At 43.1% G+C, this 18,193-nt stretch overlaps 2 protein-coding genes across 11 annotated transcripts in view; one reads left to right on the top strand and one right to left on the bottom strand.

Moving 5' to 3' along the window:
• The window catches only part of NUP88 (nucleoporin 88), a 34,830-nt gene extending 26,052 nt beyond the window's left edge, over window positions 1-8,778 (top strand). For 2 of the 3 annotated variants that reach the window (NM_001320653.2, XM_047436155.1), the window contains exons 10-17: window positions 1,949-2,050; window positions 4,651-4,809; window positions 5,659-5,832; window positions 5,941-6,006; window positions 6,145-6,225; window positions 6,501-6,627; window positions 6,785-6,903; window positions 7,342-8,778. In NM_001320653.2, the coding sequence (NP_001307582.1) occupies window positions 1,949-2,050; window positions 4,651-4,809; window positions 5,659-5,832; window positions 5,941-6,006; window positions 6,145-6,225; window positions 6,501-6,627; window positions 6,785-6,903; window positions 7,342-7,405 (892 nt within the window). In that variant the 3' untranslated portion in view covers window positions 7,406-8,778. The remainder of the gene's footprint in view (window positions 1-1,948; window positions 2,051-4,650; window positions 4,810-5,658; window positions 5,833-5,940; window positions 6,007-6,144; window positions 6,226-6,500; window positions 6,628-6,784; window positions 6,904-7,341) is intronic. The other variant, NM_002532.6, reaches the window with a different exon arrangement.
• Window positions 7,271-18,193, bottom strand: part of RABEP1 (rabaptin, RAB GTPase binding effector protein 1) — a 104,057-nt gene continuing 93,134 nt past the window's right edge. For 7 of the 8 annotated variants that reach the window (XM_047437039.1, XM_047437038.1, XM_011524060.3 and 4 more), the window contains 5 exons: window positions 16,306-16,495; window positions 15,379-15,434; window positions 13,149-13,247; window positions 12,106-12,222; window positions 7,271-10,489 (listed from right to left, as the gene is read on the bottom strand). In XM_047437039.1, the coding sequence (XP_047292995.1) occupies window positions 10,388-10,489; window positions 12,106-12,222; window positions 13,149-13,247; window positions 15,379-15,434; window positions 16,306-16,495 (564 nt within the window). In that variant the 3' untranslated portion in view covers window positions 7,271-10,387. The remainder of the gene's footprint in view (window positions 10,490-12,105; window positions 12,223-13,148; window positions 13,248-15,378; window positions 15,435-16,305; window positions 16,496-18,193) is intronic. The other variant, NM_001083585.3, reaches the window with a different exon arrangement.

The following is an 18,193-nucleotide window of genomic DNA, read 5'->3' as shown; positions in this document are numbered from 1 at the left end:
ACAAAAATTAGCCAGGCATGGTGGCAGACACCTGCAATCCCAGCTACTCGGGAGGCTGAGGCAGGAGAATTGCTTGAACCCGGGCAGCACAGGTTGCAGTGAGCTGAGATCATGCCACTGCACTCCAGTCTGGGTGACAGAGTGAGACTCCATCTCAAAAAAAAAAAAAAAAAAAGAAAAGTGAACAAGGAAAATACATAATAAAATCCCATGTAGGCTGGGCATGGTGGCTTACACCTATAATCCCAGCACTTTGTCAGGTGAGGCAGGAGGATCACTTGAGGCCAGGAGTTTGAGACCAGCCTGGGCAACATAGTGAGACCCTTTACAAAAAAATTTAAAAATTAGCTAGGTGAGGCCAGGCGTGGTGGCTCACGCCTGTAATCCCAGCACTTTGGGAGGCTGAGGCAGGCGAATTACTAGGTCAGGAGTTCGAGACCAGCCTGGCCAACGTGGTGAAACCCCGTCTCTACTAAAATACAAAAAAAAAATTAGCTGGGTGTAGTGGCGGGCACCTGTAATCCCAGCTACTCAGGAGGCTGAGGCAGGAGAATCGTATGACCCTGGGAGGTGGAGGCTGCAGTGAGCCAAGATCATGTCACTGCACTCCAGCCTGGGCAACAGAGTGAGACTCCGTCTCAAACAAAAAAAAAAATTAGCCACTGTGGTAGCATGTACCTGTGGTCCCAGCTACTCAGGAGGCTGAGAAGGAAGGATTGTTTGAGCCCACGAGGTCAAGGCTGCAGTGAGTCGTGATCGCACTATTGCACTCCAGCCTCGGCAACAGAGTGAGACCCTATCTCAAAAAAACCCCAAAATCCCATTTATATCAATTTCAGAAACAGGTAAAATTAAACAGTCTTGCCTAGGAGTGAATACATAGATAGGAAAACTATAAAGCAAAGCAAAGACATGATATTATGAATGTCAGAGTAGCGGCTACTTCTCTGGGGAGTGAAAGGCTATGACCAGGGAAGGTCGCATGGGAACCCTGAGGCCCCCTGCAGTGTCCTGATTCTTGACCTGGATACTGGTTACATAGTGTATAGCCCAGTAGTGTGTAGATTTCACACTGATAATAAAAAGTTAAAGTTTACAACCTTCCAGATATCGTCTCCATGTCTTGTCCAAAAAGGTAAATGGGAGCTATGGAAGGGGAACTAGTGTTTTCAACTGCTGTTTAAAGACTGCTGGTTCTAAAGGGATGGCGAGAAAGAATAGGTTAAGGGGAACTGGACATTATATTGAAATGAGAGTATTTTAAATGGAAGAGACATGAGTTTGCAAGCTGAGGGGAAGTAGATAATAGGGAGATTTTGAAACGACACAGTTGATGGTACAATTTTCAGAAGGTGTGAGAGGAGGCGGCATCCACATTCGGGGGCAGATGTGTGTTGTAGGCATGCAGGTGGGATGGGCATGGGAGCCGCTAGGAGAGCATGTTGGCAGAATGACAGTTCCCATCTGAGGTCTCAGTTTCCAGTGTCTTCACTGAAGTGGGAAGGAAGACTGAGAGAGATACACGCTGTGCGTGCCAAGTGATTTCCTGTGACATTGACATTGGGCCTCATTGAGAGAGACTCGGTAGTTCTGTTCATTCAACAGTTTCTAAGCACTTAATTTGTTAGCACTGGGCTAGGCAAACAAAGATAGCTGGGGCTTATGTGCAAGTTGGAGAGATCTTCAGTGTAACGTGTAACTTTTGAGATTACAGTCAGCAGCACGCTACAGTTAGGGATTCCTGAGTGACTTAGTCACATGGGCTCTAGACTTTAGTGTGGAGCTGCATTAAAGGTTTCCAAGCCACCACTTTTGAGGTTATGGTACTGATAGGATGTCCCAAGCAACTTCAGCCCAGGCCTGAGAAGGCCGCGGACCTGTCATGTCTTTGCTCTTGGTTCCATTGCATTTGCTGCTTTGTAATTTAACTATGACTGTGTTTTTCCAGGCAGCCAGCTCCAATTCGAGGATTTTGGATTGTACCTGACATTCTGGGACCCACGATGATCTGCATCACCAGTACCTATGAATGCCTCATATGGCCGTTATTGTACGTCCCATTTTATATTCTCCACACAGCTCTTGTTAATTCTGCAATATCTAAGTTGGGAAAATGCACTCAGTAACCAACTTGAAGCTATACATGTGTGGTTTATACTTTGGCTTCTGACTTGAGGGTTGGAAGGATGGATATTTCTGTTCCTGCCATCATCTCTATAAGGTTTCATTGTAGGTATAGTTTCTGGCATCCCCTGCACCTAGCTGAGAGTCAGGAGCTTTTCTTCAGAGTGTGGAGAAAAAATACTAAAATTGAATACCAAATTCCATTATCGATATGAGTAATAATTATCAAGCTGTGACCATACGCCAAGCTCAGAAGTAAGCCACGTACCCGCACTGCCTCCTGGAATCATCAGGGCAGCCCTGTAAGGAAGGCACTGTCATTTCCATTTTATAAAAGTGGAAACGGGGATCGAGAGGTTAGTAAATGCTGAAGTCACAGGTAACAAATAGAGCTGGGATACAGATGCAGGTCTCATTGACTCAGAAGTCCATACTCATACTCTTTAATTTCTCCATCTCTGCCAGCCTGAGGGACACTGTAGACTATGTAAACTGGAATAAAGCTGAACTCAGGCTGGGTGCAGTGGTGGTTCATGCCTGTAATCCCAATGCTTTGGGAGGCCCAGAGTTCGAGATCAGCCTGGGCAAAACAGTGAGACCCCCATCTCTACAAAAAACAAAAAAATTAGCCAGGCATGGTGGTACACATCTGTAGTCCTAGCTGCTCAGGTGAGAGGATTGCTTAAGCCCAGGAGTTTTAGGCTGCAGTGAACCATGATCATGCCACTGCACTACAGCCTGGGTAACAGAGCAAGACCCTGTGTCTTTTAAAAAAAAAAACAAAAAAGCTGAACTCTTAGTCTTTGCTCCTTTAAGGAACTCAGATAATTAAGCTGTAATCACTATGTTCCTTTTCCAACAGCCCTGGAAGATCATTCTGAGTTACATAAATGTAGGAATATGAGTACCAAAAACAAAAGTCACTGGAGCTTCAAACACTAGACAACACCCCCACCCCTTGTCCGTTCAAAGCTTGCACCTCTGGATGCTGACATAAATTCCTAATACTGGCAGTAGTTTACTGTCCTTAGAGGATCTTCCATAGTCTTTGAAGCTTGATTAAGTTGTACTATCTGGATGTAAAAATAAATATAAATTTTGTGTTATTTACACTGAAGGCACTAAAAGCTAGCAAGACCAAACAAAAATAATAAAATCACTGGAGAAAAAATTACCTGTAAGTTACCTCAGCATACTTTTTAAACACCCACAGTACATTTAGTAAAATAAAACCTAGTCACACTAGCTTACTTCAGAATAAATATGAATCCCAAAGGGGAAAAATAAACATTAATTGTCTGGATATTTTTTTTTTTTTTTTTTGAGACGGAGTTTGCTGTGTTGCCCAAGCTGGAGGGCAGTGGCACGATCTCAGCTCACTGCAACCTCTGCCTCCCGGGTTCAAGTGATTCTCCTGCCTCAGCCTCCCTAGTAGCTGGGATTACAGGCGCACACCACATGCCCAGCTAATTTTTATATTTTTAGTAGAGATGAGGTTTTGCCATGTTGGCCAGGCTGGTCCTGAACTCCTGACCTCAGGTGATCCACCCACCTCGGCCTCCCAAAGTGCTGGGATTACAGGCATGAGCCACCGTGCCAGGCCAATTATCTGGATACTTTCAGATCATATTTCTGCCAACTCCCTGAAATACAAGTTGTCTATAAAGTTATGCTATTTCATGAACTTTCACTTTTTTTTTTTTTTTTTTTTGAGACAGAGTCTTGCTCTGTCACCCAGGCTGGAGTGCAGTGGTGTGATCTCAGCTCACTGCAACCTCCGCCTCCTGGGTTCAGGCGATTCTCATGCCTCAGCCACCCAAGTAGCTGGGATTACAGATGTGTGCCACCACACCCAGCTGATTTTTATATTTTTAGTAGAGACAGTTTTACCACGTTGGCCAGGCTTGTCTTGAACGCCTGACCTCAAGTGATCCACCTGCCTCGGCCTCCCAAAGTGCTGGGATTACAGGCGTGAGCCACCACGCCCAACCAAACATTCACGTTAGAATTGTTGCCTTCAGAGTAAGTCACTTGCCATGCTGCCGAAGTCTGTGAGATCTTTTAAGCTCTTTTTGAAGTTTGAGTATTTGCACTTGACTGAATAGTTTTTAGAAATGAAATTATATAGAACCAATATGGTATATACAGCAGTTTCTTGGCTTAATATTGGTTTTGATCAACTCTAAACCTAACAAATAAGTAATTTATGTTTGTGGCTCCGGCTTATAAACTGGCTTTCAAGTCCTTTGCCAAGAATCCATGCTAGGTGTTTGTGCTGCCTTGATCTTTTAGAAAAGAACTGGAAATGGCAGTCAGAAATGCTTTCACAAATCAGGGGCATTGGAATAATAAGGGTGTAGCTTCCCAAAGTGACCTTTTCAAGGTGGAAAACATGCATTCTTGCACTTTTACAAAAGTTACACTTTATTTTATATTCTGAAAGTTCTGGATTAATGTGGTTTCTGCTTTCCTGTAATACAGTAAATCACTCCATGGTAGAATTCAATTTACTTACTTATTTTGCAGAAGTACAGTCCATCCAGCGTCTCCTCCCCTGCTTTGTACTCGAGAAGATGTTGAAGTGGCAGAGTCTCCCCTCCGTGTTCTGGCTGAAACCCCAGATTCCTTTGAAAAGCATATTAGAAGCATTTTGCAACGTAGTGTTGCCAATCCAGCATTTTTGAAGTATGCAACCTTGGGCATAGCGGTTTTATGAATGGGTTCTCTTCTGTCTTCAGAATTACTGTGCATCCTTTCTGTCCTCATCTGTTTCATATACTTTTTACTGTGATAAATTTGGAAGAAACTGGATATATTTGATCAGCTAGTGAATGGGGAGCAGGAGGGAAGTGGCACCTGAGAATGATAAACAGGAAGTGTTTAAAAAGAAGTTAGGCTAGGCCGGGCGTGGTGGCTCACACCTGTAATCTCAGCACTTTGGGAGACCAAGACGGGTGAATCGCGAGGTCAGGAGATCGAGACCATCCTGGCTAACACAGCAAAACCCCATCTCTACTAAAAATACAAAAAAAAATTAGCTGGGTGTGGTGGCAGATGCCTGTAATCCCAGCTACTTGGGAGGCTGAGGCAGGAGAACCGCTTGAACCTGGGAGGCAGAGGTTGCAGTGAGCTGAGATCCCACCACTGCACTCCAGCCTGGGCGACAGTGAGACTCGTCTCAAGTTAGGCTGGGCACGGTGGCTTACAGCTGTAATCCCAGCACTTTGGGAGGCCCAGGCAGGCGGATCACCTAAGGTCAGGAGTTCAAAACCAGCCCGGCCAACATGGTGAAACCCTGTCTCTACTAAAAATGCAATAATTAGCCAGGCGTGGTGGTGGGCACCTGTAATCCCAGCTACTCGAGAGGCTGAGGCAGAAGAATTGCTCGAACCTGGGAGGTGGAGGTTGCAGTGAGCCGAGATAGCACCAATGCACTCCAGCCTGGGTGACAGAGCGAGACTGCATCTCAAATAAATAAATTAAAAATATAAAAAGTTTAAAAAGCACCTGTGACTTGAGTCTATTTATTTTCAGTTGTTTTACTCAGCTAAGGAAAATAAAGGTAGAAACTTTGTTTTTAAGAGCTTCTGAAAAGGACATAGCCCCTCCTCCTGAAGAATGCCTTCAGCTCCTCAGCAGAGCCACCCAGGTGTTCAGAGAGCAGTACATTCTCAAACAGGACTTGGCAAAGGAGGAGATTCAGCGGAGGTATGATGTCCTGTGTTCACAAACCATCGATCCCTGGCTGGTAGCTGATGCTGTATGGTAGCCTAGACCTGGCTTCTGAATAAACTCTATTTCTTTTTGTTTTTAAAGGGTCAAATTATTATGTGACCAAAAAAAGAAACAACTAGAAGATCTCAGTTATTGTCGAGAAGAGAGGTAAGTGTCAAAAATAAGAAGAATACAATAGGTCAGTAAGACTGGAACCATATTCTCACCCTAAGATGCTGAGCCACATTAGGTGGTTTCAGCATCAAGGGGTGGACCTCAAGAGTCTCTTGTGTCTTACATCATTAGGAAAAGTCTGCGGGAAATGGCTGAGCGTTTAGCTGACAAATATGAGGAAGCTAAAGAAAAACAAGAGGATATCATGAACAGGTCAGTGGGCTGTATAACATTTAGTTACCTAGTCAGGTACTAACAACGATATTTAAGAAAATGGGCATTGGCAGGTGCTTACATACCTACGGAACTGAACTGATCCCCCTGCCTCTCCTCTGAAGTATATGTTGGGGAAAACATGAGGCTCTCCCCTAACCCTTCCTATGGGGCCTACTTCAGAAACACCAGATTCATGAATTATGAGCTTGTGATTATGTTTCTCCTAATTAGTAGAGACCTTAAATTGAGATGTTTGCTTGCCTTTTCTAAAGGATGAAAAAACTACTTCACAGTTTTCACTCTGAGCTCCCAGTTCTCTCTGATAGTGAGCGAGACATGAAGAAAGAATTACAGCTGATACCTGATCAACTTCGACATTTGGGCAATGCCATCAAACAGGTAGGAATAGATCCAAACTAGCTAAATTTGGTAATTTTTCTTAAAGCACTTATTCTACAGAAAATTTTACAAAAATGTAAAAAGAACAGATTCAAATAGATACTGTGAAAATGTGTGGCAAACCACTGCCAAAATATCTATTATTTTAATACTTAAGGTTACTATGAAAAAGGATTATCAACAGCAAAAGATGGAGAAGGTGTTGAGTCTTCCAAAACCCACCATTATTCTCAGTGCCTACCAGCGAAAGTGCATTCAGTCCATCCTGAAAGAGGAGTAAGTAAATACTTCCAATCAGCTATTATCGTGAGATAGTTTTTCCTTTACAGTATGCCAGAATCAACCTGTCTTAATAGAAACCTGAATCTTGGTATTTGCATGTCAAGTAATTACTGGGATGAGAGCCACATGATACATAGGGACTTAAGAAATGACTATGGTGGGAGGATTGAAAGGGATGACCTTCTAGTAACATGATTTTGTTGTGTGGCCAAAGGTATTTTACAGTAATTATGTTCAAAAATATTTCCAGTACTTGCACCGTTTGCCACCTTAAATGAATAGTGAACACTATTGCTATCCACCTGAAACCTTCAGCTGTTAATTTTAGCAAAGCAGTTCTTAGATGTTTCAACATTACCAGTTTAAATTCTTAAGAATCCATATAAATGGTTTATTATAATTCCAAAAGTGAGTGACTTTACAATTTTACAGGGGTGAACATATAAGGGAAATGGTGAAGCAAATCAATGATATCCGCAATCATGTAAACTTCTGACACCACCAGGAGCTGACTCACACCTGAACTGAACACCATTGAAGGCTTAAACCCATATTGTAAAACAGGTAGAATTATCTAATTTATAAAAAGGTGTTTTGATGACCTTTGGTGTGGTTCATCTTTTTAAATATGTTGTTTTATAATAATTGAGTAAATGCTTTTATTTAAAATTTGGAATGTGCTTTATAACTCAAGCCTACAGTTGTGTTCAGCAAGGACTCAGGATTATTTCACACTGCACACTGCCAGAACCTCCCTGAACCCTATTGAGTTTTCTCCATATTTGAGCAAGTTAGTTATTCTTGTGAGCTGTGTTTTAAAGTAGCAGCACCAGAAACATGACTCTGAAGAGGGATAGAACCCTAGGATTCAAAGGAGAAGACCACACAGTGTACTTGGCAGCAGCTTTTTTAATTTGAACACTTTCTTCTTGAGGACACACCTTCAGTACAGTTAACAAATGGTTACACCTGAAATCTGCTGAGAGCAGAGCTCAAGATCCACAATTGCAAAGGCCACTGCTGGCTCACTTCCTCACAAGCTGTATTACCTTTCAGAGCTGAGTGAGGCTGTGCTCTACGTCCCAATACTTGTTACTGAGTGGACATGAGGTGCAAGTTTAGCACCTTAAAGGGAGAAAAAAATAGGTTAGTATGCAGAATGTGATTTTGTCCTCACTTCACCTTAAGTCATCTTTTTACACTTGCCAATGTGAGTTCTGAAAGGTACTACTATATCTGCTTAGAAATGGCTGAGTGACTGTCAATTAAAAGCCACATGATAAGGTAGGTTACAGGTAAGAGGTAAATCAGGTTAGACATGCATGAGAACATGTAGGCACAGACTGAATATAAGCACAGGAACACTCGTGAAACCCAACTGAGCTTTTCTTTTGCCTAGAAGGGCTAAATCCTGCCTTCTACATCAGTTCCCATTTATGCTGAAAACCCAGTTGAAAGAATTGTTTCCTACCTGGACAGTGACACAGTAGTTTGTTTCATACCAGAAACACATTGCTAAACAAAACTTAAGAGTCTCAGTTTGGGTTTTTCTACAATAAAGTGAATTCCAACAGTTGGCATTTGCCACAGTAGAGACCACTAACCATTCCCTAATTGTGATGATTTTATTACCCAGCACCATCTTCTGGAGAAAAATATCTGTAAGGTGCTCAGTCTCAGCAGAACACTTCACTGCAAGCTCTAGTTCAGTCAGTTCAGAAAGGCTGTGAATTGCCCACCCTGATTTACAGCACTAATTTTAATAATCTGAAGACAAATTCGCTTGGGGCTTATCCAAGGGACTAGTCTTAAACCTACGTAATTTAAATTGATTGCATTTTATAATTAATAAAATCCCCTGTAACTCAATAGTTATATGTTTCCTTTATCTAAACCATGTAGCACTCTTTATAAAGGGACTTTAAACCAATTAAAATAATGTTTCATGTGCGGCAAGCCTTTAGTACTATTTCCATAATTGGTATTTATTTTTAAATTCATAACCATGAATGCAAGACTACAATAATAACCCAAGAGATGAGGTATGTAGTACTTATCATTTGTCCTATGGAAGACAGAAGTACAGAAGATCTTTAGGGTAAGTCCATAGTGACCTCATTTATAACAAAGACAATTCACTTTAAGTTGATGGTGGCGTTATGTGAACAAAACAATCTACCTAGTTCACTAACTCCCAGAAGGCTCTTTCAGGTACCCTGCTGTTATGCAACCAGTCTCAAAAATGATTTGAAAACCATCTTACTTTTGAACCTCCTGGATGATGAATCCATCCACTGGATATTCCTGGGACAGTACTCTCAGCAGGTATTGATGAACATGAATCAATTCTTTGTGCTTTCTGTAGCACTTCATAAAGTTATGGCAAAGACCTGTTTCACTGAGGCTTTCTTCACACAGGAAAGGAATCTAATGCTTGTAAAATGACAAGACAGATTTCCAATTCTAACTAACTGGCTTTCCATAAGCATTGTCACTTACTTACATTCCAGGTCTGAATTCAAAAGAAAAATACAAAGTATCTGTCAACCTAGTTACCATTTTTGTATTTGACACATTTGAAACAAGTAGTACGTAAGCCTAATGATCCAAGTTGAAAAATTAGCCTATTTAAAAACGTATACTAATGTTTTTCACTGATCCAATAACTAGACTAAAACACTTCAAAAGAGTAGATGGTACCAGTTCGGCTTTATCCTGGTACCCTGTGGGCCCATGAAGATCATCTAAGTATGCAGAAAAAGTGCTTCCAAAGTTTCTTGTGCTTTTCCTTTAACCTTCAACTTCCAGTATATATAGCCCCAGCCAAGTTTTCAGATCCTCATCATTAATTCACTTCATGAATTGGTTTTGTTTGCCACAGTCCTATGGTTCTCAGGTAAGTTTCAGTAGCATTTAAGGTCCTCCAAAGCAAGATAAGATAAAATGGTAAAAGGAAAACAAAATACAGTCAGTAGCCAATGGCCTGCTCTCAAACCTTCATATTTTAATATAAAATATTCATACAGCATACTACACTTCTGTCTGCTAACTGAATACTGTTACTGATGAGCTCTAGACAACAGATAAAGCAAATTCTCTCTTCCAATATCTATGAACAGAAAATTCCAAACACTACTGGGATGTCGCTTTAGGGTAGGGAAATGTGTTCCGAAAATCTGTCTTGGAGAAAGCAGGCAAGGAAACAGCGCTTTTTCCATCACCAAATCTGATCCCACGCCTGTTGGAATCAAGCCTGGAGTTTATAGTGTTCGCATTTGAAGGTCTCTGGGCTGCAGATCACCCCACTGTTTGCTGTTTCCTGTGCCGCACAGTCTTCTCCCTCTAGAAGTAAGCATTTCTCCAGTCTTCCTTTTGTTGTGACTTCTCTTTCTTCAGTTAAGAGTTAAATAATAATTACTGTTGCTCTAAAGATGAGTTAAAAACCCAAAGTGCAGGCTAGAATCCTGCCATGAGGGTGTCATGTCTCAGGAAGCTGGTTAATGTCTGTCAGTTTAGTATCATTCAGAATTGCCCGGATTCTCTCCAAGGAGTCAGCTTGCCGGATCCGCTCTAACTGCACCTGGAGAAACAATGGTGAGATAACTACAGGTGGCTCCTGCCTAGATTTTCTGAACTTTGACTGGTTTAGCTGAGATGTAGCAGATTAACTCACCAGAGTACTAGTCACTTCAAAGGGAGACAGCAAGAACAATTAAAAATTTTAAAAATAATTCCCCAAAGCTACCGTGTAACGGACTGGGATTTTTTTTTGGGGGGGAGAGTTTTGCTCATCATCCAGGCCAGCCCAGGCCAGAGTGCAATGGTGTGATCTCGGCTCACTGTAGTCTCCACCTCCCGGGTTCAAGTGATTCTCCTGTCTCAGCCTCCCGAGTAGCTGAGATTACAGGTGCCTGCCATCACACCTGGCTTGCTTGCTTTTTCTTTTCCTCCAGATGGAGTATTGCTCCGTCACCCAGGCTGGAGTGCAGTGGCATGATCTTGGCTCACTGCAACCTCCACTTCCCGGGTTCAAGCAATTCTCCTGTCTCAGCCTCCCAAGTAGCTGGGATTATAAGCACACGCCACCATGCCCGGCTAATTTTTGTATTTTAAGTAGAGACGGGGTTTCACCATATTGTTGGTCAATCTGGTCTCAAACTCCTGACCTCAGGTAATCCATCCATGTCAGCCTCCCATACTGCTGGGATTATAGGCGTGAGCCACCATGCCTGGCCCAGACTAGGATTTTAAAGTGTAATGTGTTGGGATTATGGAGACAAATGAGACCTGACTCCCAATCCTGAAGAATCCACAGTTCCAGTCCGGGCACGGTGGCTCACGCCTGTAATCCCAGCAATTTGGGAGGCTGAGGCAGGTGGATCACCTGAGGTCAGGAGTTTGAGACCAGCCTGACCAACATGGTGAAACCCTGTCTCTACTAAAAATACAAAAATTAGCTGGGCTTGGTGGTGTGTACTTGTAATCCCAGCTACCCAGGAGGATGAGGCAGGAGAATCGCTGGAATCCAGGAGGCACAGGCTGCAGTGAGCCAAGATCACACCACTGCACTCTAGCCTGGGCAACAGAGCATGACTCCGTCTCCAAAAAAAAAAAAAAATCCGAAGTTCCATTGGGAAAAAAACTTAGTTTTAGCACAATATTCTAAATGTCATTGTGTCATTACAGGCATTCATAGAGTGCCCGAGGGAGCATGGCAGAGGGAGGGGCACTTTAGCCCAGCTCAGGGACCTAGAAGAGCTCCACAGAGGGGACAGACCTACGCTGAGCCTTGAAAGAAAGGAGTCAGGAGGGGATGAGATGAGGATGCTTACCAGACAGAACACCACGCTGTGGGCGAGGAACCACAAGCAGTTAAACATGTAAAACAAGGCAGAGAGATGAGCAAAATACAGGGGTGGGCCTGGTTGGGAAGAGTCTTACATGGTATGCTAAGGAGTCAGTACTTTACTCATAAGGAGGCAAAATTGGCAAGGCATACAGAAAAAGAAAAATGGGCCAAGTGTGAAGAACACACCAGGTTTCTGGCTTGAATGATGAGTCAGACATTTGGGGTGGAGGTAGGAGCAGCCAGTCTCTAAACCTCTAGCTACTGCCAGTGGTCAAGTCAGGGATCGGCAAGGTTCTGTCCCCCAAAACTGCCTTCGTGCTCTGTATGTGGTTCCCCAAATGCCTCACCTGAAGGGTCTGTGAAAGCTTTACAAAATCCCTCTGGACTTGCTCACTGACATCTAATTCTGTCTGTAATCTCTGAGCTTTATTCTTCTCTTCAAACATTAGTTGTTCAACGGTAGCCTAAAAAATACAAGTTTTGAATGAAGATTAATGCCAAAGGGCCGAATTACTTAGGAAATCCAGTAACTTGTAGTTACCTACTACTAGGGCAGAAAGGTGGGTGGATATCCGTCGCACTCCTATACACGACCAATCTCTTTATCTATAGGGCAAGCGTGCAGGCCATCTAGACTACTTGCTCTAAGTCCTGAGATGAACTGGGTATGAAAAGCCAAAGGAAGAAATGGATTAAAGTGCTGCCCTCCCCCACCCCCAGCAGCTGGTGACAGTGACGATAATCACCAAAACAGCTGCTAAGATCGGTGTCTGTCACACCAACAGGGATACATACAGGACTTCCTCTGACAACCTCCACAGTCAAGCATCCACCAGGAAACTTAGTGAATACGCCCCAGCTATCCCCAGTCTCTCTTACAGAAAACCAGCAGGATGTGTGGGAGCCTTTCCAAAAACAAGCAGTTCAGCAACACTGTCTGCACTTTCAGGTCTGACCACTCAGCTCACTAAGACCATTTCTAGGAAACTACCCCCACAACATGCACGTTTATTCTAACGGAACTCATCAAAATTTAGGCAGCAAACCTGGTTTGATGCAATCTCTCTTAGGATTTGATACATCAGTCAAATGGAATGACATTTTCAAAGCAGTGCTTCTAACTGGGCAGTGCCCAGGCTTGGTCAATGGCCCTGACTGCCTACTATCTGAAGCTAGCCTATGACGCAGGCCTCCAGACCTGGCAGAAAAGATTTAACCCAGCTGGAATAGATCAATTCGTTTAAGTTTTTTCTTTTCACAAGCTGTCAGTTTTGCCAACTTTTTAAAAGGTGACACTTCAAAGCACCAATATTTTTTTTTCAACAAGCAAGATGTGATCCTGCATTCTTAGCCCTGCTTTTTAAAATTAAATGACTAATGAAAACACTACCTTAGCAGCAGTCTCTTTCTTTAACTGCTCTTCCAAACTGATCTTTATTTCCTGAAGACTCTCAAGCTGTTGAGACTTCTCTCTTAATGTGGACTCCAACTGTGAAAAAGGAAAAAGCTGAAACTCACAGAAACTCCCTCTGGGCCCCAGTGCACTACCTAAAAGAGCCTAGAGCCTGGAGAATTACACCAAGACACTCGGGCTACACTGGGAATACTCCTCTCACCCTTTCAGCTCTGTGGATCCCCTCTGTATTCTTCCTGAACTATTCTTTCATTAACCATTATTAGGTGCCTACTATATTCTAAGGCCTCAAAATGGAGAAATCAGGGTAAACAGACATGTAAAGGATGAAGAAAGAAGCATTTAATTCTGCCAGAAAAGTTACAAAGGACTTCCTAGAGGAGATGACATTTGACTCCTACATTTTTACAGGGCAAAGACAAGGGTGACAAGGGGAGAAGATGGAGAGATACTCCAATAAGAGGGAATGGATGGCACGCACTAAAAACACATGCAGCAACAGTGGCATGTTCGGCTGGCCTACAGCACAGCACGTTGGGAGCCACAGGCACTGAGGCAGAGAGGTGTGAGGCAGGAGAGCTCTGGCTGGGCTAAGGATATGGACTTGATCCTGTAAAATAAAGGGAACTACGGGAGGGCTTTCCACTAGACTGGGACGCGAACAAGTTTCTAATGTTTAAATATCACCTTGATTTCAATATGGAGATGATTTAGGGACAAATTTTGGAGGCAGGGAAAGTTAGGCTGTTACAATAAGCCAGGTGAGAGTGAAGTCTGAACTCAAAGAGTGGCAGCTAGAATGGAAAGGATGAGATGTTATTTCGAGCGCTGGTAATTTCTGCTGGTGCAATATCAGTAGCAAAGTGGAGGCAGGAGGCAGACTGCAGCAGGTGGAGGGATGCCTGGGAAGTCAGGCAGTGATGATGATCAAGACTGTGGCAACAGAGGGAGGAAGAAAGAGTGGTAGCTCGGGAGAGGAGTGCAATCCAAAGACAGACTTTTTCCTTCTGAATATGAGACACCTGAGCCTGTTCATGCATAATGGAAAAGATCAGTCAAGAGGCAGAAGTTCAAGGCCCGGCACTGCGCGGGGACATCTGGAAAAGTCGGAGATACTCAGTCAAAGCACCTATGCAATGACACTGTGGTCAGAAGCAGGTCATGATATTCTCTGAAGAAAAAGAAAAGACTGGGAATAAAAGGAAAACCTGTAATTGAGGAGCCCAGTAGCTGAAGGTGGCCCTGCCTGATGCCTGAGGAGTGAGGCCAGCATCTGCTGAGAGTGAGGGGGCTGAGGTGAGGTGACTCTGAAACTGCCACTGTGAGGAATGGAAGAGACGCAACTTAGGACACATGAAAGGCTGCATGAGGAACACTGGAGGCCCATCTGGCAGCTTGAGCATGCAGTGTCACCAAGTCTCGTGGCATCAGCAGCTGGGGACAGCAAGACTAGTCCAAGGTTGGGCAGTGGTCAGGTGAGGGCAGCAGCAGGACAAGGAGTCAAAGACCATAGGGACAGGTGTGGTGGGAGATGAAGGGAAGAGGCAGGCCAGTAAGATGCAACCTAGGGGAAAGAAAGCAAGCCATGAAGCTGCTGAAACCAGAATGAAAGGGGAAGTTCAGAGAACTGGAGGTCTGAATGAGGTACTCCGATGGAAGAGCTGGAAGGATGGCAGATTGTGGTCAAGGAACTTAAGGCTGCAGTGAGATGTCACAGTTGGGCAAAATGCAGCCCAGTGTGTGGAAGGGGAGAGCAGGGTGGAGGTGAAAATCTCTAAATCAAGGAACAGTGAGGTCAGGAAGTTGAATGGGGTTACTATGAAAGGAACTAATGATGTCTAAGAGGACTAAGCCAGCTAGAAAATGTCATCTCTTGTTTGTAATGTTTTTTATACATATTTCTACTGTACCTCTAAGCATATAACATGTTATGACCATGCCTTGCCTATCTTCTCACTACACTGGAAACTCCAGGCCACAGTCACATCTTAGCCTTACCTCCTCCAGTTTAACGTAGCCTGACACACAGGGCACTCTCAATAAATCACCAGCACACCCTTACCCCGTGGTTTTCTTCCCACAAGACAAAAGTTCCTTAAGGCAGGGCCCATGCCTTAACTATTTTTTATTCGTTGGGTGCAGCATAGTAGGAGTCAGTAAATAACCACTGGTTGCTGATAGAATTAATTTGAAACTCACGACTTACCTGTCCTTTTTCCACTTTTATTCTTTCTAATTCAGCTTTTAGGCTAGAAATAGAAGCTAGAAGGAAAAAAATGAGATGTATTAGCATTCATCTATTATTGTGCATGAACATTTTTTTCTTTAAAATTTTAGAGCACCCCCCAAAGGATTCAAATGTATGCTGAACATGGGTTCCGGGGGCTGTCTCAAAATTACCACCAAGCAATCAGCATATTTAGGCTCAGGGAAAAGCAGGATCCATGCAAATGGACACTGTGTCATAAACTACCTCTAGATCATGTATCACATCTCTGCAGGGAAATGCCACCCATTGAATCACGTTCCCCTGGTTCTGGGTTCAAGTACTGAGAATCCTATCTATGAATAATTGCCAAAGAGGCCACAGAACTCCTAAAAAGACGAGTTTTCGGCCAGGCGCGTTGGCTTACAACTGTAATCCCAGCATTTGCAAGGCCGAGGCAGGCAGATCACCTGAGGTCAGGAGTTCGAGACCAGCTTGACCAACATGGAGAAACCCGTCTCTACTAAAAATACAAAATTAGCTGGGTGTGCTGGCACACATGCCTGTAATCCCAGCTACTCGGGAGGCTGAGGCAGCAGAATTGCCTGAACCTGGGAGGCAGAGGTTGCGGTGAGCCAAGATCGCGCCATTGCACTCCAGCCTGGGCAACAAGAATGAAACTCCGTCTCAAAAAAAAAAAAAAAAAAAAAAATTTTTTAAATAACCAGAATTTCTGATTATTTGACTATATCAGAATATATATTCAGAATCTGAATATATCAGAATATCTACAAAAAATGGACTGAGTCCTTACTAAATTCTTTCCTAAGCTTTTCTGTGTTCCAGACTCCATGGCCATGTATTGCTTCTTTTACTAAAGTTTTATTTAGTGACTCTAATTCTAAACTACATCACTTTTATCTTCACCTATTTCCTCCTTGCAGTTTTCTATTTCTAGTTGCAGAGTTTCTTCAAGATTTTCTTTTAAACACTGTTCTGCTTGGATCTGCTCTTTTAGGAAAAGTATCTCAGCCTTCAGCTTTTCTTCTACGTGGTCTGCTGCTGTCCGCACATTAATGATGTCCTCACGGTATTTTAATACCAACTCCCGCAGTGCCTGGATTCAAGAAACAAATGATTATTGGGTTTGTGAGAGTGAAAGGAAATAAAGAAGCTAAAGATTTTCTGTAACCAGAATCTCAGATGTTGTTTTAATGGTTCAAAAATTAAGACTTTGACCATTAAGCCACTTAGAGCTTCAGGGCAGGTGCCATGTCAGGTTAACATTCAGTATGTTATAGAAAAGACATTTCTGGCCAAGTCGTATCTTGTAAGCCACATACTCTTCCCTCAAAACTGTTTCATAAGCAGAAAAATAAAAAGATTAAGTGACTTACAATATGCCATTCAATAGAAATAATACCTTAGAATCCTCTACTATTACTTGCAGAAATTTGGGAGGAGTTAGGAAATGAAGACAAAACTGAGTAGCAAGTTCACACTCAGTAGCAAGTGTGAACTAAGAGGATAACATTTATTTACTTACTCACTTATTCATTCATTCAAACATTTACTAAACATCTACCAGAGGCAAAGTACTACCTTAGGCCAGAGGTAAATAATGGCAAAGGTGGCTTTCTAAGGTGGTAAGCTGTTTTTCTGTAATAAATTCAGTATAGAATTTATTTTTCTTCCTAAATTTTAGTTCTGTCTTCTTTTAGAAATCCTTCCAATTATATCCTAAAGCAACTCTAAAGTAAAAACGAGATTCTCAAATAACAATATATATAAAACAACAGTTTTTAAAATTTCCTAAGATTTATTGCTGAAGCAGGTCCAAGAATCAAGGATTACACACTGACTACATTCTTCAAGGATTCTTGGAACTTTTTTTTTCTTTTTCTTGAGACAGGATCTTCCTCTGTCACCCAGACTGGAGTATGGAGTGCAATGGCATAATCATATCTCACCACAGACTCAAACTCCTGGGCTCAAGCAAAACTCCCACTTCAACCTCCCAATGTGCTGGGATTACAGGCAAGTGCCACTGTGCCCGGCCTGGATTCTTGGAACATTTTAAGATCTAGGACTAGGCAGGCGCGGTGGCTAAAGCCTGTAATCCCAGCACTTTTGGGAAGCCGAGGAAGGCGGATTCCTTGAGGTCGAGAATTCGAGACCAGCCTGGCCAACATGGTAGCCAGACATGGTGGCACACACCTGTAGTCCCAGCTACTCAGGAGGCAGAGGCAGGAGAATTGCTTGAACCCAGAAGGCGGAGGTTGCAATAAGCTGAGATTACACCACTGCACTCCAGCCTGGGTGACAGAGCAAGACTCTGTCTCAAAATAAATAAATAAATAAATAAATAAAATGAAATAAAATCTAGGAATAAAGTCTCTAAAGAACATGGAAGACAGGATTCTTTCCTGACAAAAGAGAAAAATCTAACAGGTGGAAGGTGGTAAACAGTGATTTTAAGCTGATAGCAAAAGTAGACAGGTTCCCAAAACCTTTTTTTTTTTAATTGAGACAGGGTCCTCACTCTGTCTCCCAGGCTGGAGGGCAGTGGCGCGATCTCAGCTCACTGCAGCTTTGACCTCCTGGGCTCAGGCGACCCCTCCCACCTCAGCCTCCCAAGTAGTTGTAGCTGGGACTACTACAAGTGTGTGCCACCATCCTTGGCTAATTTTTTTTGTTTGTTTCAGTAGCATCGGGGTTTTGCCATGTTGTCCAGGCTGGTGTTGAACTCCTGACCTCAAGCAATCTGCCTGCCTTGGCCTCCCAAAGTGCTAGGATTGCAGGCCTCAGCCACCAT

Source organism: Homo sapiens, chromosome 17 (assembly GCF_000001405.40).
Source record: "Homo sapiens chromosome 17, GRCh38.p14 Primary Assembly".
NCBI classification, from domain to species: Eukaryota; Metazoa; Chordata; class Mammalia; order Primates; family Hominidae; genus Homo; species Homo sapiens.
Note: the sequence above shows the minus strand (reverse complement) of the source record. Positions and strands in the feature narration are given on the sequence as shown.